Raw genomic sequence first — 22,112 nt, 5'->3', positions numbered from 1 at the left:
AGAACCACTATAATGTTCTGCTTCCCTGCACCCAACTCAGAGGAGTTCCTCTGAGAGAAGGGGCCCAGCTTACCTCGTTCTCCTGGGGTCCCTGGCACGCCTGCATTTCCGGGGAAGCCTGGTGTGCCTGGGGGTCCTTGTTCACCAGGGGCTCCAGGTGAGCCTGGCCTCCCAGGCTCCCCAGGAGGCCCTTGGACAGTCCGGATGGATGAGGAGTGGCTGGGAATCTGGTTGAGGATGGCAGTGTACCTGGCCATGTGACCTGAGGTATGAAGCATAAAGACAGCATTCAGTGAACTGTCACACAAGGAAAGAGAGGACCAGGGGTGTCATTTGTTAAGGCTGCAAACAATTCTGTTAGATACCCACCAAGGGAAAAATCACACCCCTTTGAAATATGTTGATTTCCAGCTTAACATTTTTTTACGTTTTACTCTGGATGATATTAAGGGCTGGACTGTTGTCAAATGGCATCTCATGTGTTTGGAATTCTGCAGCTCATGTCAGCATCTCAATAAACATCACTGAGCAGAAGTTGTAAATTTCATCTTTACCCTCAACATTTATCTGACCCCTAGACCCTCACCCAGCTGCCATTTCTCTAGCAATTACTCCCCAAGTTATTTTTCTTTTCTAAAACGCACAAAGCCTCCCCACCCTCTTGCTCACAAATCCCCAGACAAGTGCTCTGTCTCAACTCATCTCTTGGTCATCAAGCCTTTTTTTAGGAACCTTTACTTGGGTCTCAGCTGCAGAAACTCCCACTAGCTTTATATTTTTAAAAAATCTGGCACTCTCTCCCACAATCCCTTAACTCAGTTATGTATGGAAAATATATATACAGATATATGTTACTAATCAGAAGTATAAAGTACTTGATACCATGATGTCTCATTTTTCCAACATCATTAGGAGAGGAGTTTTCCCAACATAAGTGAATTTTCTAGTTTACTGTTATTTATCCATTTTGAAACATTTAAAACTAAATAAAAATAGTAACAATTTCTTCAAGGAATTCACTCTAAAATACATTCAGTGCATTCTTTCCTTAAGCATTGGATTGTCACTGTAAGTAGGGATCCGCTCCTGATGACTCAATGTTATTAGTAGGCACGTCCATTGTTGCCTGGGCAGGTGAGACATTTCCTCATTTGCTTTTTCAGTTTCTGCCTTTGACATGGGGACTGTCCATCATCATTTTCCCAGCTGTCATCACTTTGGCCTTGCATAATTTCCCATGTAACTCTTCCTAGCATAATTCTGATCAACTGTGAACTAAAAACCAGAGAAGTGAGCTTGTGAGGAATTATTTGCTAACTGATAAATCCAGTTCTGAGTGGCAGCTGAAGGAATACAATAAGGATCCCAGAGAAAACTGAAGTAGTGTAAGGCAAGATGGTTGAGGTACCAGAAATACAGCCTCTGAGTAGGCTGGGCCTGGCTTATCGAGTTGCATACAACCTTTTTGATTTCCTTCTAGTATATTGACAGGCAGGGCCTTGCTATTTTATAGACTTGTTTAAGCTTTACTGTGTAACCAATCCCTTGATGACTTCTACTTCCTAGAAGTCAATCACAAGACTCTGAGAATTCGTAAGGAGAAAAAATTGATTTTGAACCCTTGATTTTTAGGGCATGCTTTAAATAATCAGATATTTACACATGATTTTTATTCTACAGTAGAATAAGACAGCAAGTATTGTGAGATCTTTCTTGGGTAGTGGTCAGTGAGTCATAGTAAGATTTAAGCCTTAAGTTTTCTGAAAATAATGATCTGCTCATTTACATTGTACACTTGAAATCAGAAATCTAAAAAACAATTCAAGATACAGGTTATTTACAATATGTCAGTACAAAATGATTAATGTTCAATTTCTCTTTTATAATGTATTTTTAAAGATCCTATTTTGCCATTAAACTTAAACAGTTATATTTAACTGGTAAATTCTCTGTCACAGACACACACATAGTTTGGGCAATATAACAGAAAATTAAATAACGTTAAAATACAGGGAGCATGACTACTGTGTCTGAAGTTGGTATCTTCATACTCCTCTTGCCCTGATGTTTTTGCCTTAATGAAAACTCTTCCAAGCCTGTGCAGATCTCAACTCCATGCCTCCTCCAGGGTGAGATTTGGATTTATCTCAGAATTAAAGATGGAATTTTGGACTTAGCCAACAAAGCTGTCTTAGATATTGCAGGGCTTCCTGGCCTAACTCCCAAACTTTCTTGAGTTAAAATAAATATAACCCCAAGCCAATGAGGTACCCACCTGGGTAATGTCAGCCCTGGAAGTGGGGGTGCTATTGGGTGAGAGGGCTGGACAGCAGAGCTAGGCGAGAGCTGGGTGGGGTTGAGAGAGATAGTTCACCTCTGCTTGGCCTCAGATATTCCTGGAACTGAACAAATTACTGGCAAAGCGAAGGGCCCACACTAGTAACCATCTGATTAGATTACTGTGATAAAATATATAATCAGTGGGCAGAGCAGAAACGTGCAAAAGTGGTGGGATCTAAGCAAATGGGCAGGGAAATACAGTGCTATCAAAAAGCTCAAGTAAAATGAAGAAATGGGACAGGCGTCATATCAAGTTTGTTATGATGTAATTTTTGGCACAAAGCCCAAGTATAATATCATATCAAACGTCAGAGCAAGCCTGTTCATGTGTGTGTTTGTATTTTCATAAACATCTTAAGAAATAAATGAGAAGACCTTAGGCTAGCCAGAAGGTAATGGATGTGAAATGGATAAGAAGGAAATATTCATTTAAATCTTGCAAGTTAATAAAAATCAACACCATAAATTGTCTTTCTGAGGCAGCTTCTGAAGATGTAGTCTGGCAGCTTTCAAGTGCTGAACACTTGAGAAAAAATCCTACCCACCTGGAAAGATGAGAAAGGAATAGAAGATCTGATCTGGGCAGTCAAGTTAAATTTACATGGGCAAACAGGCAGTTCTTGGACCAATGACACAAAGGAATTTGGCTTTTGTACCATCGATGTAGAGCTCTAGGGTAATCTGCAGTGATCTCTTTGATGGGTCAGTGATGGTCATCTGTAAAGCTTATGTGTCTGCACAAAGACAATGCTTTAGAGTTTTCCTTAGTGGTACGCTCATGGGAAAAGAAACTCTCTTTTGGATGAGAGTTTGTTATGGGGAACATCCTCCGTAACCATTACATACTTACTCTGGATGAGCTGTTCGCATACTTGACGCGCCACTGATCTCACCATGGCTTGAGACTGCAGGTCACCCTGGATGAGAAAAAAAGCATACTCCTGACTCAGCTACAAGCCCAGCCACACTACCAGGACTTCCAGGATGTGGATCTGACTTGCCCCATTGTTCCCATCAGGGATCTTTGGCCCCTAGCAACAGGTGGGTTTGACCACCACGGTGCATGCAGAGAAGGGGTAAGCAATTTGATATTCATGGTTCAAGGTTCCTGGGAGTCCTTATTAGATTAACAAGCACTAGTAAGTATTTCTGGTCCCCTATTCTAAAAAATTTAATAGTTTTGAAACAAACCCATATATATTTAACACGTGATATATAGCTCTTTAGAGCTTATAAAATACAGCACTTTCTCGAGCAGTGGCTCATTTAATACTAATAGCAACCCAGAGGAAAGATGTTAAACCCATTTTATAGCTGAATAGCATTAAACACATGGCCCAAGATTTCACAGAGGTAATTGGATGAGCCCAAGGCCACTGCTGTTTCTGCTATAGCCAATGGCACAATTATATTAGCAGCTGCACAATTGCTGAAAGGAGAGAGACGACCCTTAAATTAAGCTGACTTCAGTTTGGGGGCCAGTTCTTTGATTCTATGCCTGCCATTGTCTTCCTGGGTGTGAACCTGGGAGCATCAAAAAGCCCAGGAGTGCCATGCTGCCACTTGTCACTTGTATAGAGTTTTTACTTTTCTGAAGCCTTTTCACATCTATTATATAACGTTCTCATCAAACCCACTTTGTAAATTATATGACGGTGATTCTCTCCATTTTATCCTTAAAGAAAAGAGCCCAAGTTCATTGACCTGGATGGTAGCAGATATGCAATTAGAAACTAGCTCTCCTGACTCCCAGCCCACAGGGATTTTATGTCTGGAAAATATGGCCACAGTCTAATGAATTGGGGAAAGGGAGAAACAGAGACTGGTACAATTGCAATGAATATTAATGGTATTAAATGATGATCCTTTATCAGGCTTATGCAATGGAAGGGGTGCAACAAGCTGGGGCCAGAAAGCAGAGCCACAGGATACTTACCCGCTCTCCTCGTTCCCCCTTTGCTCCAGGGACACCCTGTATAAATGGAAAATTGTCAAGTTACTTATGATATTGCACTTAGCTAAGAGTGATAATCATGCATCTTTTCTTATTTTATTAAGACATTTTTCTTAGCACCAGTAATTCTGCAGCAAAAATCATTACACAACAACAGAAAATAAACAGCAACCAGTACGCACACCAAACATAAAAAGCTCTGTTAAGCATTCTACCCTTTCAGCTTTTTTATGCAGAGACATGGTATATTTTGGCCACAAAATTGGAATCGTGCAGCAATAATATTGCTTTGTAACACATATTTTCACTGTGTAGGTCCTTTGCATCTTTCCACCCTAAACGCCACTCTATGTACTGTATTCTACTGAGGATCCTTCATAATTTATTTCACAAATCTCTGATGAATAGTTAAATTGTTTCAGTTTTTAAAGGAATATCTCCAAAAGGATAGAAAAGATCACCTCTCAATTTAGGAGTTCAAGTCAGAGATGAGATTAGTGAAATCCCAGAGCTTCACTCTGATTTCTGTGCAGCACGATGCCACACAATTCTCCCTAATTCTCCCCAATATGGGAGCTCACATTTATGTGACTTCTCAATTGATTTATTATTTTATTATGTGGCTTAGCTACTCTTTCACCCATAAGAAACCTTGCCGTTATTAAAGCGCATCTACTTTAAAAATGGCATTTTCAGGGTTCCTCCAAAAAAATCATACATCTAATGCAAAACACGTGTCTTCAGAAGGATTTCATATTTTGTTTCAACTCTGAGGCAATGTTCATTGAACAACATTTTTATAGTCTCGACTAAAAGGAGAGTGAATGGAATTCATTAATGGAATTTGCCACGTTGTCAGACTGTTTCCAGTTGTTATTTCAAACAGGTCCCAAGCCAAACTCGGTATCTTCTTCAAAATCTGTAGTCAGTGACCAGTTGCCCAGATTCAAACTTCTGGTTTCATCCCACAGTGTGCAGGTAAACTGGCTTCCCAGAAAAAGAAAATGCCCTGACTTGTAGTGCTTGCTGATTTTGGAGGTGTAAGTGTTTCTATCACAGCTGATTTCAAGCTACAAATGTGCTGTCACTGAAGATGGAATTGGAAAGGAAGAGAAATGCATGATTGACTCTCCAGTGCAGATATAAGCAGCCCACCCTGGCTCTATCTTCTCTCCTCTCCTCCCTTGCCCTGCTATGTCTATTCAATACACACACACACACACACACACACACTCACTCACTCACAAACATACACCACATACACACACATACACACCCACACACTTTTTTTTTTTTTTTTTTTTTGAGACGCAGTCTCCCTCTATCTCCCAGACTGGAGTGCAGTGGCACGATCTCAGCTCACTGCAGCCTCTGGCTCCTGGGTTCAAGTGATTCTCCTGCCTCAGCCTCCTGAGTAGCTGAGACTACAGGTGCGTGCCACCACATCCGGCTAATTTTTGTATTTTTAGTAGAGACGGGGTTTCACCATGGTGGCCAGGATGGTTTCAAATTCTTGAACCTCAAGTGATCTGCCCACTTCAGCCTACCAAAGTGCTGGGATTACAGGAGTGAGCCACTGCACCTGGCCAACACTTTTTTTTTTTAAACATGATGTTAGAATCTTAGTGTTGGATATATGGGTGTGGTGTTCACTCAAAATTCTTTCCATTTTGTGTGTGTTTAAAATTTTTTTATGCTAATACTTTGGAAAGAATGTAGGACATTGGACCTGCAAGCTGGGTTAACTCTCTGAGTTTCTTTGTAAGATGAGGCCACTAAATGAAGTGATCTCTGGGATTCCCTTATCAGTCTAACACGTTATTCTCTCATGATATGGTCGTTATTCAGAAGCAGGGAGCACAGGAAACAGAAATTGATGAAAAATACAAAGTCTGGGCTTCCGAGGAAAGGATTCCAACCTCTACAGAGAAAGAAGATCCTCACAAAGGATCCTTCTGAGGATGTAGTGTGGCTGAATTTCACTTCAAGTTTGAATGGCAAGCCAATTTGTGCTTCATTTCAACTACCCTGACTGTAAAAAAGACAGAAGATGGCAGGGCGCGGTGGCTCACGCCTGTAATCCCAACACTTTGGGAGGATCGCAAAGGCCTTGATCACAAGTCGGGCAGACCACGAGGTCAGGAGTTCAAGATCAGCCTGACCAATATGGTGAAACCCCATCTCTACTAAAAATACAAAAATTAGCCGGGCGTGGTGGCGCGTGCCTGTGGTGGCACACGCCTGTAGTCCCAGCTACTCGGGAGGCTGAGGCAGGAGAATCACTTGAACCTGGGAGGCGTTCCATCATAAAATTTTTTTTGCAAAAGTAAGATTTACATAGCACACCCCTGCCCCAGCCCAAATTCTTTTTGGAAATAAATGTACTGGCTGTGCCTTCTTCCCTCATTTCTTAGGCTTCACAAATGGACAGATCTCTAAAGAGACATTAGTGTTTACTGGAAGGACCAACTGGAGAAAAGAACTACCATCTTACCACTAAATAATCCTTAACGGAAACAGTTTGTCAAATATTAGAGGCAAAACAAAAAAATCAGCAAATAATAAATATTCCATATTTTAATACATTATGACACTCTAAATACTAATAGCTGATACGTAGGCTGCTTTACCATGTTCCAAGCACTGTCCTTGTTCTTAGCATGTTAACTCAGCTAAACCTTATAACAGCTCTGCAGGATTAATTCATTTAATTCTTATAACACTCCTATAAGATTAACTTATTTAGTGCTTACAATACTCCTATAAGATTAACTTATTTAGTGCTTATAATACTCCTATAAGATTAACTCATTTATTCTTTATAACAACCCTATATTATTCCTATTTTCCAGATATGGAAAATGAGGCACTAAGAGGTCTTGTCACTTGCTCAAGGCCAGGCAATAAGGAAGTGAAAAAACCAGGGACCTGAACCCAAATTGTGGGCTCCAGAATCCATGCACATCCCGAGTACACTCTACCACTCTGTTGAAAGAGAACCCTGCTTAGCAATTCTGCCAGCTCATGTCTTCTATTCCAGGGAAGATAATATTTTCTCAATTAAAATAAGCAAAACAAGCAAACATACCATGCCTAAGGACTAACTCTAGTAATTCAGAATTAGGGTGCAACTTGAGTCGTTTTTTTAAAATCTATTTTATCTTGAATAATTTTATTTCTGCACCAATACATTTTTTGACAGTTTTCTTGCTATTCTTGCTATCATTTATTAAACTGGCTTGTTTGAAAATGTCTCAAATCTAGAGACTACAATTATAGTGCAAACCTGATTGACATGGTAAATGGAGAGCATCAGCTGTTGGCACCTTTTGGTATGTAGGGACGGATGTGTTTAATTGGGCTTGAAATTCCTCAAACTCAGTCTCATGATGCTGGTTATTAAGTAGCCAAAGGATGCAGCTAGGCAGTCTCAGTGAAAGATCTTTTTAATGAAATATCTCTATGGCAAGAAATTATTTTTTATTCCAACTTCTCTGACATCGTTCCTTTGATTTTTACAAAGTAAAACAAAAACAAAATAAAAATTCCTGAGCAAGTGAAGGCCCATAACTCCACCAAAGTATGCTTTGAGGGAAAACACATATTCCCTGCAGATGTAGGCAGGAAAAAGTGGCACACTTTCCTTTAATTTTAGGAGCACTCGAAATGTAAAGAAAAGAAAATACAGCAGCTACATTCATAGATTCACCGAATTTTAGCGCTGGAAGGAAGAGGAATGATCTTGTGGTTCAAGTCCTACATATTAAAGATGTCTGTTAAACAGAGTCAAAACATCTTAGGCTGGCTTGAAACGTCTTCCATGACCTGACCCCTAATCTATAAGAATATTCTTCTAATATGCCTCTGAACATCAGCCTAACTAGAATATAAACGTACCTTCTTTTTTTTCTTTTTTCTTTTTTCTTTTTTTTTTTTTTTTTAATTTTGAGACAGAGTCTTGCTTTGTCGCCCAGGCTGGAGTGCAGTGGTATGATCTCGGCTCACTGCAACCTCTGCCTCCCGGGTTTAAGCGATTCTCGTCTTTCAGCTTCCTGAGTAGCTGGGATTACAAGCACCCACCACCACGCCCAGCTAATTTTTGTATTTCTTTTTCAGTAGAGACCAGGTTTCACCATGTTGGCCAGGGTGGTCTCAAACTCCTGACCTCAGGTGATTCACCTGCCTTGGCCTCCCAAAGTGCTGGGATTACAGGCATGAGCCACCCCACCCAGCCTTCTTTTTTTCTTTTAATAAATACATATTAAGTACTCTCTATGTGTTAGACACTGAGCTGGGGTCTAGGACTCTGCACAAGAATATGATAGAATTTCTATCCTGAAGGAATTATCCTTTTAGTGGAGAGACAAACATCAATAGTTGAAATGCAGTACCTAACAGCCTGCGAAGGGACAGGTGGCTTTACACAGGAGATGTGCAGCCTTAAAGAAGGATTTGCCGGGAGCTCACCAAGTGGTGAAAAAGAATGCAGCCCAGTAAGGCAAAAGAGCATCCCAAAGAGCATCCTGTAGGTTGTTAGCATCCCCAAAGACAAACATGTGAAATGGTATGGCATATATTTCAGGAACTTTAAATAATGTGTGACTGAACTCCAAGTGAAGGGAGGATGGTAATCCAAGTTGGAAAGGAAAGTAGGGGCCCATCCTAAAGGGCCACGAGCTCTCTGCTGAACAACTGGGCTCCTTCCTCCAGGGGTAGGGAAGAGATTGAAGCCAGACAGTGACACGAGGGAGTTGCACTAAAAGATGTTCTGGCAGCTGGGGAATGGACTAGACCAGGGCTAAAGCAGAGACCAGGGGGCCAATGAGAGCCTCTTGGGATAGTCCTTGTGAGTAGCAAGCAGGGCCTGAAATAAAACTGCAGTAGTCGTGATGGAACTAGAGAAAGAATTGAAAAATATTAAAATGTACAGAGACAGGGGTGCTCTGTGTTTGCCTTATGTTTTTCTGCAACTGCCACCTAAGTGATGCAATCTTTCTGTCTTTGTGGGTTAGGTTCCTACCCATATTCTAAGATCTCATCTAAATGCTCCTGAAGCCGCTACTCCCACCCCTCAGCTTAGGGGTCTCTCTCTTAATGGAGCTTTCAGAGCAATTTGCTTGTCTTTGCCTTAAGGCATTTCACACTTTCTGCCCTTTATTACAGCTTCTTATATAAAAACATCATTCTCTCTGGATTTCTCAAGAGTATTGAAAAATGTCTTGAGATCTTTTGTATCCCTCACAACCCCTCCCCACCATGTAATCTTACATGTATTGTGCTCATTCCCTAAATATTTTAAATGAATGAATTAGGAAACTGACATTCCAAAAGGCTAGATGATTTGTGCAACTGATGTGGCTTTCACAGCTACTTTGAGTCATGTCAGGGCTACATCAAGGACCCAGGTATCCTGACTTCTAATGCAATACTCTTTCAATGATGTAACCCTGGACCTGTCTACCTGGCTGAACACATGGCCCCAGCAGTGAGCAGCTCCTTCGTTCGTGTGCTTTATCACTCTCTAACAACTGCAGTGGAGGAACCGTACCTAAGCCAGTGCTTAAAACTTAGATCGGAATTAGGACCTCAGCAGCAGCAATGTACATTCTGCCCTAGGGAGCCGGCAGCTGAAGGCAGACTGCACAAAAGCAAGCCTTTCTGGCACCCACTGTAGGAAACATGTTGCTATTTTCAGCGGTGCAGCCTGTCCCTCTTGGTCCCTTTCCCTCATGCCTTCCTAGACAGACATCCATGGGAAATCAATCCAGGCCTTAACACCATGACACGGAGCCTGCTGTCACAGTCATGCCAGTCTGGCCGCCAGCAAGCATCTGGGAGCCAGTGGGCCCAAAAAAGTCTGGGCTGGACAGTTCAGAGAGCAACTTGCTTTTGAGAGGAAATGCCCAAGCCAGCTGTGGTATTCCTACCTGATGCTAATAGGCCAAATGGTTTCTGCCTCTGATCAAAGCACCAATGGCACAAGGGCCCCTCCTGCTGCTTTCAAGGGCCCCTTTCTGCTGATTCATAACAAAAATAACATTATGAACAAGTGTTTTATTTGTGGGAAAATTTTATTGGTATTTATGTAGATACTATATTTAGAGTCTAATCCAGAGCCACCAAAGGCCAGATCGGTGAGCAGGGTGCTATCATAGTTACTCAATGATTCCAGGTCTCTCTCTAGCTCTCCACGCCCCATGTCAACTCTCCCAAAGCTCTCAGAGCCTGCATTTCTTTCCTTCCTTCTTCCCCATTCCCTCCCTCTTGGGTCAGGATCACTCTATACCTTGCTTTTTCCTAGCCTGGGTTAGGAGAAACTAGTTCTAGGAGATGCTAGTAAGAATAAGAACCTCATGCACAAATACGTTTATTGTCTAACCAAATTAAACTAGTTTTGGGTGTTTTCTAATTTCACTTCGGGATGCCTCAAAGCCTTTCATGTCCTAAAACTTCCCATGAATTTCTGAGAAACAGATTAGGCATGCAGTTTCTGTGCATGTGGCTTACACAACTAGTTAGGGTCATGTCAGGGCCACTTCTTTGACCAGGACCCTTTACTGTCTGGCACTGTGGATGTATTCTAAAACTCTGGTTCCCAGGAGCACATTCTGGGAAGCAGGCTGAAGCCAAATACCAGACAGTATGTTTTTAAGTTTCTTTTCTGGTATGAAACAGCTTAGAATCAAACGAATAGATAAGCTTGCAGTGAAAGAATGAAGACAGGTGTGTGTGTGTGTGTGTGTGTGTGTGTGTGTGTTTTTGTGTGTGAACGCATGCATTTTTTCATGTGTTCACACATGTGGGTTTCAGTATATGTTTCTAGGTGCAGGATCATACTTTGCAACACATTTTTGAATTAAAAGAAAGATGTGTGAAGATAAAGCAATCAGATTTTCTTCTGTGACCCATTACTAGGTTGATATAAAAAGAAGAGATCTAAAAGTATTTTGTATTTTGAATGACATTGTAGTTGGAATAAAGATACAGCTGTATAAAGTGATTACTAAGGATAGCATTTATTTGAATGTGCAAATTAGGATGTGTTTGCTAAAATCAAGATGCATTTTGTATGTGCATAACCTGTATGGGTTTGTGTACCTACATATGCCTCACATGAATCATGGCCCAGAAAAGGATTCTGAGGATGAAATAATTTTATTAAAATGAGTTTCAAGAATAAGAGGAACAAGACTATCTGGGTTGCTAGACGAAGAGAGGCCACTTTCTGAATGAGAACCAACATTTCTGTTACATCTTGTTTACTATGGTAGGCAGAAAAAAAGGCCCTTCAAACTTCTTTGCCCTAATCCCCAGAACCTGTGAATATGTTACCTTATGTGGCAAAAGGCAATTTGCAAATGTGACTTAGTTAAGGATCTGGGAATTATCTAGGGAGATTATCTATGATTATCCCAGTGGCCTGAATGTAATCACATAGGTCCTGAAGAGAACCTTTCCTGGCTGTTGTCAGAGAGAAGTGACTACGGCAGAAAAAGGCCAGAGAGATGCAACATTGCTGGCTTTGAAGATGCAGGTGGACATGAGCCAAGGACTACGGGAGGCCTTTAGCAGCTAGAAAAGGCCAGGAAAGAGATTCTCTCCTCTAGCCTCCAGAAAGGAAATACCGACACCTTCCCTTTAACTCAGTGAGATCTGCGCCAGACTTCTGACCTGCGGAACTGTAAGATAACAAATTTGTGATGTTTTAAGCCACTGAGATTGTGGCAATTTGTTAAGTGGTAACAGGAATCTAATTCACTAGATGCTTCCATCCTCATCCATTGGATTTCACTGCTCCACACATTCTTAGTGTGTTTGCAGTTGTACACATCTTTGCATTTTTCAATGTTTCAGTTTATGGATGTAGACTTAGCAATTCACAGATAAATATCAGAATGCTGACTAACATCTAAACCTAGAAGGAACAACTTGCATGTCACCAGAAGATGCCAAGCATGTCTCCAGAGGCCATGTAATATGATGACCTCATTTTACAGATGAAGAAACAGGCCCAGATGTGTTCATTTGTTTTTCTTTCACCTTATCCCTTCCTCTCCCATTGATCACATTTAAACACCAACCTAAGAGACTAGAAGTACAACAATCAGAGGCAAAGAATTCTGTTCATTATGTTTTCACTTATAACACCTCTCACTTATGTGTGAGTGTGTGTTTTACTGGTAAATTCTGTCTTGTAGAATTTGGAAGAGAAAAATCTAATGTCACGTTCATTAAACCTAGAATTTCCCAAGCTTTCTATTTTTCCCTTTGGGAACCCAGCTTGATTAACACGTAGCTGTTGTACCCAATCTCTGGAGAGATGATATTGAGTTTGCTTAGCCAAATACAGAATAGCAAGCAATAGAAACATATAAGCAAAAGCATGACAGATTATTCCCTTTTAGGACCATTTATCTTCAGCCATGACATATGCATAATCTGATCTTCATCTTTATCCTAGAAGCTTTTCCAATTTCCTTTATGAATTTCCATAGAGTCCAGTGCTGAATAAACATTTCTGACTAACAGAAAGGCTGGTAAATTTAAACACATAAATAAACGTGATGACTGGGCCTACATTCTGAGCAGCTACCGCTGCATACTCACAGGTGGTCCCAGGGCGCCTTGCGGTCCCATGCTTCCTGTGATCCCTGGGACTCCAGGGGTGCCAGGAATGCCCTAGAAGAGAGGTAGGAAAATGGAACAAAGTCAGGAATCACACATTCTCATCAATGACAGCCAACTTTTAAGCAAGAGTAACAAATACACACCATGATAGCTTCCCTCCCCCTCATCACCAGGACCTCATTCCTGTTCCCAACTCCCAAAAACGGAGGGAAGACTTTTTTTTAGTCTCCTCACTATATATCAGGTGTGGTTCTTTCAAATTCAAGCCTTAGTTGTGATTTAATAAAAGCTAAGTCAATGCAGGTGATCTTCTGGCAAAATAGCTCAGAGATAGAATAATTGGGCAATATGGGTATATTATCTTTCTAAAAAGTTTTAGGGAGAGTTCTCTATCAAGGGATGAGTTGTCACACTATAGTGAAGACGGCTGCTGGTAAAAGATCTGGCAAAAGAAAACCTCTCAAAAGAAATGAAGTGCTTTAAAACAGAGTATGTCCCAGTAGTTTCTGGAAAGGCTTACTATTGGCCCTGGTGGTCCTGGAGGTCCCGAGGATCCATCCTTTCCCGGAAGGCCCTGGCGAAAAGAAACACAGCATGTCAGCAAGTGGTTGCTTTATATGGCTTTCAGAATGGGCTCATTTAGTTCCTTTTCATGTTTGGGGGTCAAGTCCTGCTGCTTGCTCTGGACTACCAAGGATTCACTGCCTTTAAACTCTTCATGGAAATTGTTTTTGGCAAGGTTTTGTGACTGTTGGCTCCATTAAATTGTCCAGTGCAAAAATTTTAGGCGTAAGAAATGCCACTTACAAACTTAAACAGGAACTTGCTTCCAAAAAGTGCTTTTACTAAACTAAGCCTAACAAATGGAAAGAGGATCCATTATTGGTCATTAAGGACCAGATGAAAAGATGAATTAGTATCTTTCATGACCTAAGAGAGTCTTGGGCAGGGAATCTCTATCAGAGGGATCTGTCTTTCATTAGGAGTACTACAATATCGGAAAGTCTGCAACTTCAGGAGTAAGCTGGAGGAGATTTGGGAGGATTTCGTGTGGCAATGATTGAGCTTTGACTACTGGACAGATTTACTGAGTGTCATCGTGGGCTTACAAATGAGCACGTGTTTGCTCCTCATTCCCTGGTGGAAGGATTTAAGGCAGAAAGCAAGTGATGTTCTTTATAAAAACATCTTCCTCAATTATAGAATATATAGGTATGTGTGTTATTTTTATGTTAAGTGTTAAAAAAACTACAAAAGCTGGGATGACTTACTCCTAAATGTTTATAGCTCTTAATTGTGAATGCTGGCCTTTCCAAAGCAGTTAATTTAAGAGAGAATCTTCAATCTGAATTTTATCATATTCATAAAATTTCGTAAAATTTTTTCCAAACACCACCTGTTACTATAGGGAGAAACTTAATTTTCACCACGGAATTGGTGTCCCATTGGAATAATTATTTTCCATCTCAAACCAACTCAAACTTCTCCTGGCATCTTTGCAGACTCTCCCAATTCCCTTTCTGACATTCTTGCCACTTTTCCAGTGAGCCATCTTTTCCACTTATTTTACCATGAAAATCCATCCTTTTTTTTTTTTTTTTTTTTTTGTGAGACAGAGTTTTGCTCTTGTTGCCCAGGCTGGAGTGCAATGGCACGATCTTGGCTCATCGCAACTTCCCCCTCCCAGGTTCAAGCAATTCTCCTGTCTCAGCCTCCGAAGTAGGTGGGATGACAGCCATGCACCACCACGACTGGCTAATTTCGTATTTTTAGTAGAGATGGGGTTTCTCCATGTTCGTCAGACTCGTCTCGAACTCCCAACCTCAGGTGATCTGCCTGCCTCGGCCTCCCAAAGTGCTGGGATTACAGGCATGAGCCACCACACCCGACAGAAAATCCATCTTTTAGGTCTGTCCAGACTCACATTATGTCTCCCTACCTCAAGGTGTCAAATAAAAGACAGCAATGATAAGGCCGAGGGAAAGGAAACGGTGTGTGAGTTGGGAGAGTGTGAGAGGTGGCACAAAGGCAGGGTGATATGGTTTGGCTGTGTCCCCACCCAAATCTCTCTTAAATTGTAGCTCCCATAATTCCCACGTCATGAGAGTGACGCAGTGGGAGGTAACTGAATCATAGGGGCTGGTCTTTCCCATGATGTTCTCATGATTGTGAACAAGTCTCACAAGATCTGATGGTTTTATAAATGGGGTTCCCCTGCACATGCTCTCTTGCCTGCCGTCATTTAAGATGTCACTTTCCTCCTCTTTTGCCTTCTGCCATGATTGTGAGGTCTCCCCAGCCATGTGAAACTGTAAGCCAATTAAACCTCTTTCCTTTATAAATTACCCAGTCTCGGGTATGTCTTTATTAGCAGCGTGAGAATAATAATACACAGGGGTAGGACGAGTGTGGAGGAGAAACACTGGTCAGCAAAGCCCTTTGCCACACTCTCAACCTCAGAATGCCAGCAAGTCAGAAACCAGATAAGGCAGGGGATGCGTGGGCTCACCAATATTTGTGGTTTTCCTTTCCTGCCTAGGCACATTGCTTAGCTGTTTTGCACCCTCTTTGCAATTATGCTGGAGCCACATGGCTGAGTTCTGGCCAATGAAAAGTGGCTAGTTTCAAGGGGCTAGTATGAGTTTTTAGCTCATAAAAATTTCCAGTGGGTGATTTTACACTTTATTTTCTCACTCTGGAGCAATCTTAAAGGCCAAATGTTGAAGATGAGAGTGTTCCAAGATGGAAAGACCCTGAGTTCCTAAATGACTGTGTGGAGCAGAGACCCCCTAACCCCCACTCCTCCACCCACCCTTGCTGACAGCTCTGGATTGTGAACAAGCAATGAACTTTCATTCTATTTCATTTTATTGCATTAAACCACTGAGATTTTAGGGTTGTTTATTAGAATTGCTGTCCAATCCTGAAATATATTAGTATTTTTATTTTTACTACTACTTATATTCTTTCACTTCACTCAAAAATATTAGTATTGATAAACCCTGATACAGATTACTTTGCACACACACATACACAGGTCCTTAGACCTGCTAACTAAACAATACAAATTAATGCTGATATAAGTTGAAATAAACTATTTTATTTTTTTTGAGACAGTCTTGCTCTGTCACCCAGGCTGGAGTGCAGTGGCACAATCATGACTCACCTCAGCCTTGACCTCCTGGATGCAAGAAATCCACCCACCTCAGCCTCCCACATGGCTGGGACTATAGGCATGTGCTACTATGCCTGGCTAATTTTTGTATGTTTTGTAGAGATGGGGTTTTGTCACATTGCTCAGGCTGGTCTCGGACTCCTAGGCTCAAGTAGTCTGCACGCCTTAACTCCCCAGAGTGCTGGGATTAAAGGCATGAGCATTGCACCCAGCCAATAAATTATGTTAAATGGAGTTTAAATGTAGCCTGTCCAAGAAGAAGGGCAAACAGCAATCAGAGTATGTGACGGATGAATAGGACATTAGAACTCATCCATTCTAACTCCTTCATATTACTAGTGAGAAAACCTGGGGCCAAGAGAGAGTTGAAAGAAAACCTAACTCATTTTTTAAAATAAGTTTATAAGTTTATAATAATATATTCTTATTTCTCAGATGAAGTTCTTAGAAAAATGGACCCTGGGCACATATTCACTAACTTAAGAAGACATTTCCAAAAAGGCATCTTTTGCTTCCTGCTTTAAAACTCTTCCAGCACTGGATAGGGAGTGAACATGCACCTATGCGTGAGCCCACAGAGGACCCGTGGCCAACACAACTGCCCAGCAACCAAAACTGCAGCATTACTGCGGAGTTCTCCCCAAGTCTCTGCTCGGCTGTGTCCAGAGGGGAAACATTCCAAAAACAAGTGAGGGGAATCTTTTTCACAGAAGGAGGCAAGCTGCAGAAAAGAAACTGCAGAAAATTGCATTGTTCCAAGGAAGAACAGCAGGAAATAACACATTTATCCCCTCTCCCAATCATGTGAGAAGGAGTTTAAAAAACAAGTCTGTCAGTGCTCTCATCTATGACCCTGGAAGGATACTCTTGTGAAGAGGTTTGAATTCACTTGATTTATGGACATCATGTGCATATCATCTGGAAGGATGACATGTTGCTCCTACATATGAGCTTAATTTGGTGAAAGGGCTAGTGCTTCAGTGTGATCAAATCAAAAGTGGAGGCTGCAGCTGGGTGTGGTGGCTCATGCCTGTAATCCCAGCATGTTGGGAGGCTGAGGCAAAAGGATCGCTTGAGCCCAGGAGTTCAAGACTAGCCTGGGCAACATAAAGACACCCCTATCTCTACCAAAAAAAAAAAAATTAAAAAAAAATTGCTCTGCCTGGTGGCTTGTGCCTGTAGTCCCAGCTACTCTGGAGGATTGCTTGAGCCCGGAAGGTTGAAACTTCAGTGAGCTGTGATCACACCACTGCACTCCAGTCTGGGTGATAGAGTGAGACCCTGTCTCAAAAAAACAAATAAAGCAGAGACTGGATAAGATGTTTGTTTGCTTTAAATTCTACCTAAACAATATCCTCAAAAGTTGGAATTTCTTCTTTCTCTTCTTCTTTCGAGGGCAGAAAATTATGTTTTATTCATCGCTATATTCCTAAAACTTTCTTAACACATTACTGACACAAAATAGGTACTGCACATGGCCAGGTGCAGTGGCTCATGCCTGTAATCTCAGCACTTTGGGAGGCCGAGGCGGGCAGATGACCTGAGGTCAGGAGTTCGAGACCAGCCTGGCCAACATGGTGAAACCCTGTCTCTACTAAAATACAAAACTTAGCCAGGCGTGGTGGCTCATGCCTGTAATCCCAGCTACTTGGGAGGCTGAGGCATGAGAATCACTTGAACCTGGGAGGTGGAGGTTGCAGTGAGCCAAGATTGCACCACTGCACTCCAGTGGGTGACAAAGCAAGACTCCATCTCAAAAAAAAAAAAAAGTATTGCACTAATAAATACTTAATTTGAATAAGATTGAGGTTCCTGCTCTACTTATCACATCGAAGAAATAAGCGTGAATCACAGGTAGAATGAGTCTGGAAATGTATAGGGTGAGGGGAATGCTGGTGTCATTCTCCTTGCTCTTGAACCCTCTGCAAGCAAGTCGAAAAGACATCAGGAGTCATCCTACTCTCAGAAGCTGAAATTTCATTTTAGTAAAAGCTTAAGGTTAGGATCCTAGAAGCAGACCCAGATCCTTGTGTATTTGACTTATTGCAGGAGGGTTCTTGGAAGAAACCTGTAAGGCAGTGAAGGAAGCAGGGTAGGGACAGGGAAGAGGTTAGGTAGAGTAGTGAGTTATCTAAACTTCTGCCTGATCCCATGGGGAGCTCTGGAGTGTGAATTACACGTCAGAGTTGACTCACATAAGAGTCTATGAACCAAATCAGTTAGTCGTTGACTGAGGGCCAAGATAACATTTCCAAGGGCAATTATCTGGAGAAGGGGACAATTATGAGTGGTTAGCAGTCAGCACCATAGCAGCTGGTGATGTAGTTCACCTGCCAAGTAAAGGGGGTCCAATCAGGGCACCAACAGCATCCACTACAATGCATTTTATTCTGGCACTTTTTTCATGGACTGTCATAAACAACTAAACACTTTTAGAGATAATGGTTCAAGAACAAATAACAAATTTGTTCAAGAACAAAGGTGGGTTTTTGTTTTTGTTTCTGTTTTTTGAGTTAGAGTCTCACTCACTCTGTCGCTCAGGCTGGAGTACAGTGGCACAATCTCGGCTCATGGCAACCTCCGCCTCCCAGGCTCAAAAAATTCTCCTGCCTCAGCCTCCTGAGTAGCTGGGATTACAGACATGCACCACCACACCCGGCTAATTTTTGTATTTTTTGTAGAGACAGGATTTCGCCATGTTGGCCAGGCTGGTCTCAAACTCCCGAACTCAAGTAATCCACCTGCCTCAGCCTCCCAAAGTGCTGGGATTACGGGCATGAACCACTGCACCCAACCAAGAACAAAGGCGTTTTTAAGTCTACTGTGAGTTATCTGCTTGCTTTATCTCAAATGAAAATTTTCTTATTATAAATTGTGATAACTAAAAGGATATTAGCCTTAACACCATTTCAAAAACACAAAGCCATTTTTTCTAAAATTTCTTCATAACCCTAGAAAATTAAAGATCTTCACATTTTCCATCTCATAAAATAGTTTTATTTTTAAACTCTTAAATGACACCAGTAAATTTGCCTTTGAAAGATTTTTTATTTGCAAGTCTTGCATTTGTCATATTACCCAGAAATACCTGTACAGGTACTACATGCTGGGGATTCTGCTAGGCTCTAGGTAGACAATGATGAACAAGACAGTCACTCTTCTAAGAGTTTACAGTTTTGAGGATAGTCAAACAATGAAAAGAAACCAACAGTGTGCTATGCTGAGAGACTATAGAGTTCCAACGGGTACATCTAGGAAGAGCACCTAACCCAGGCTTGGGGACACAGAGACATTTTCACAGAAGAGGTGGAATTTAAGTCAAGTAATCAGAATGGTTGGGTCCATGGCATGAGTCTCCCTATTCACACACCACTGCATGTTACAGCTCTCACTGGGCAAGCCAGTCAACTCTTCAAAGGGCAGGGTTCAGGCCCTTCTTCTCACATCTTCATTTCAGGGTGAGCAGCAGTAGCAGAAGCTTTTTACAGAAAGCAATAAACTTGGTGAAAGGAAAAATTTTGTAAAATAACTGCATTTTGTAGGGTAAATTAATGGGCAAATTCTAGCTTTGTCATTCAGCTTAACTATAATCAAAGCTCATTGAATGGTCTTCAACTATTAACAGCTAAAAAAGTACTTGCACGTCCCAAAACCTTTCTATATCTATAAATTTTCCATTTTACACCAAGGAGCTAATCTAAGATGTGTGTTTAGAGATTAAGCATCCTCATATAAAGCAGAACATGTGGCCAGGTGCAGTGGCTCATGGCTGTAATCCTAGCACTTTGGGAGGCCAAGGAGGGTGGATCACTGGAGGTCGGGGGTTCCGGACCAGCCTGAACAACATGGCGAAACCCCATCTCTACTAAAAATACAAAAACTAGCTGGGTGCGGTACGTTACGCCTGTAAGCCCAGATACTCAAGTGGCTGAGGCAGGAGAATCGCTTGAACCCAGGAGGTGGAGGTTGTAGTGAGCCAAGATCGCACCACTGCACTCCAGCCTGGGCAACAGAGTGAGACTCTGTCTCAAAAACAAACAAACAAACAAACAAACAAACAAACAGCAGAACACTTAATTAAGCAATGTACAATGAATATTAGGAAATAGAAGGTTAAACAATAAGCATAATATGTGAATTCACTTAGGCTGACTTTTTTAAAAAATGCATGAAATTAGTCACCCACAGACAGGGATTTTTTTAAATAACATGAATAGCTCTAGGCATTTTTCCTTTTTAATATTCCTACCTCAAAATATTAATATGCACCCATAGTCCACATTAAAAATAATTCTTGCTATAAAAACTTGAAAGGATTTTTATAATTTGTTTTTAAAAACATTTGCCTATGAGCAACTTATTAAGTTATGGTTGGCTATGATTTATCAGCAAAAGTATACCTGACCCACAATTTGCTTTCAAAATCACTAATATTTGAATAAATACTAAATTTAACCATGGCTGAAATTGGCAAACCATGTTGTTATACAGACATTTAATTAAACATTTCTTAACTTCCATTTTTGCAGTTTTCTTTTCCATACTATAGAACAAATGTATGTGCTTTTTTTCAAGTTTCTAAACATTTTTTGGTAGGCTCTTTAAAAGTTTATAGTTTCTAGGTGCTGTGCCTATGGTCTCTAAAAAAAACTGACCTGCCCACAAATAGTGTTGCAACTGAAAATCAAGTCAGAAAGGAGAATACTTGTTTCTGTAGCCAGCGGAAATACTGCTTAGAACTAGTGACTCAATTATACTATTCTTCATTCATATCTTCTTCGAAGCTGACAATGGTAGGTCATGATACTAACCTTAAGATTCCGGCCAATTGTTAAGGTTATTCAACTGATGCTACACTCTCGGTTAGAGTGGGATCTGTAAGCAGCTGGCAACAGATGAATTTGTTGAAAGGGGCCAGGCTCAAGCAGTCAGGGTTAGAGATATGCTTGAAGAAACCCTCGTTGCACAATTTCAACCCTGTGGCATGGCTCTGGACTTCTGTAAGCAGACTAGTGTGGCAGCCAGCCATAAGAAAAAAGGCTGCTTCTTGCAGCAAAAGATTAAGACCAACCACCAGATTAAGAGGCCAAGCAACTAGAAGCCACAGATTCTGTAAACACTGTCCCAGGCTACAGATCCGGGATCAATCCTTGCATTGGGTTACATGGGAAAATTTTCAGTAACACAAACATGCACACACACACATTAAAAATGTATATGTATATATGCACAGATAAACATATACATCTATTTATATATTATATGTATATATACTATTTTCATTTCATTTACTTATTCATTTATTTTTAAACTTTTTTTTTTAGGTTCAGGGTACATGAGCTGGTTTCTTATACAGGTAAATTGCATGTCACAGGGGTCTGTTGTACAGATTATTTTGCTACCCAGGTAATAAGCATAGTACCCAATAGGTAGTTTTTTGATCCTCATCCTCCTGTCTCCCTCCACCCTCAAGTAGGTCCCAGTGTCCATTGTTCCCTCCTTTGTGTCCACATGTACTCAACATTTAGCTCCCACTTATAAGTGAGAATATGTGGTATTTGGTTTTCTATTCCTGTGTTAGTTTCCTCAGGATAATGGCCTCCAGCTCCATCCATGTTGCTTAAAAGGACATTATCTCATTCTTACAGCCAAGGCAATCCTAAGCAAAAAGAACAAAGCTGGAGGCATCACACTTCATGACTTCAAACTGTATTACAGAGGTACGATAACCAAAAGAACATGGTACTTGTACAAGAACAGACACATAGACCAATGGAGCAGAAGAGAGAACTCAGAAATAAGACCACACACCAACAACTATCTGACCTTTGAGAAACCTGACAAAAAAAAGCAATGGGGAAATGACTCCCTATTCAATAAATGGTTCTGGGTTAACTGGCTAGCAATATGCAGAAGATTGAAACCGGACCCCTTCCTTATACCATATACAAATATTAACTCAAGATGGATTAAAAATTTAAATATAAAACCCAAAACTATAAAAACCCTGGAAGA

The 22,112-nt window shown here is 41.1% G+C and overlaps 1 protein-coding gene across 11 annotated transcripts in view; it reads right to left on the bottom strand.

The window, feature by feature from the left end:
• COL14A1 (collagen type XIV alpha 1 chain) overlaps positions 1 to 22,112 on the bottom strand; it is a 249,120-nt gene that overhangs the window by 27,937 nt on the left and 199,071 nt on the right. For all 11 annotated transcript variants that reach the window (NM_001413490.1, NM_001413491.1, NM_001413493.1 and 8 more), the window contains 5 exons: positions 13,443 to 13,496; positions 12,902 to 12,973; positions 4,277 to 4,312; positions 3,191 to 3,257; positions 74 to 262 (listed from right to left, as the gene is read on the bottom strand). In NM_001413490.1, the coding sequence (NP_001400419.1) occupies positions 74 to 262; positions 3,191 to 3,257; positions 4,277 to 4,312; positions 12,902 to 12,973; positions 13,443 to 13,496 (418 nt within the window). The remainder of the gene's footprint in view (positions 1 to 73; positions 263 to 3,190; positions 3,258 to 4,276; positions 4,313 to 12,901; positions 12,974 to 13,442; positions 13,497 to 22,112) is intronic.

The sequence above is a fragment of the Homo sapiens genome, chromosome 8, assembly GCF_000001405.40.
Source record: "Homo sapiens chromosome 8, GRCh38.p14 Primary Assembly".
NCBI lineage: Eukaryota > Metazoa > Chordata > Mammalia > Primates > Hominidae > Homo > Homo sapiens.
Note: the sequence above shows the minus strand (reverse complement) of the source record. Positions and strands in the feature narration are given on the sequence as shown.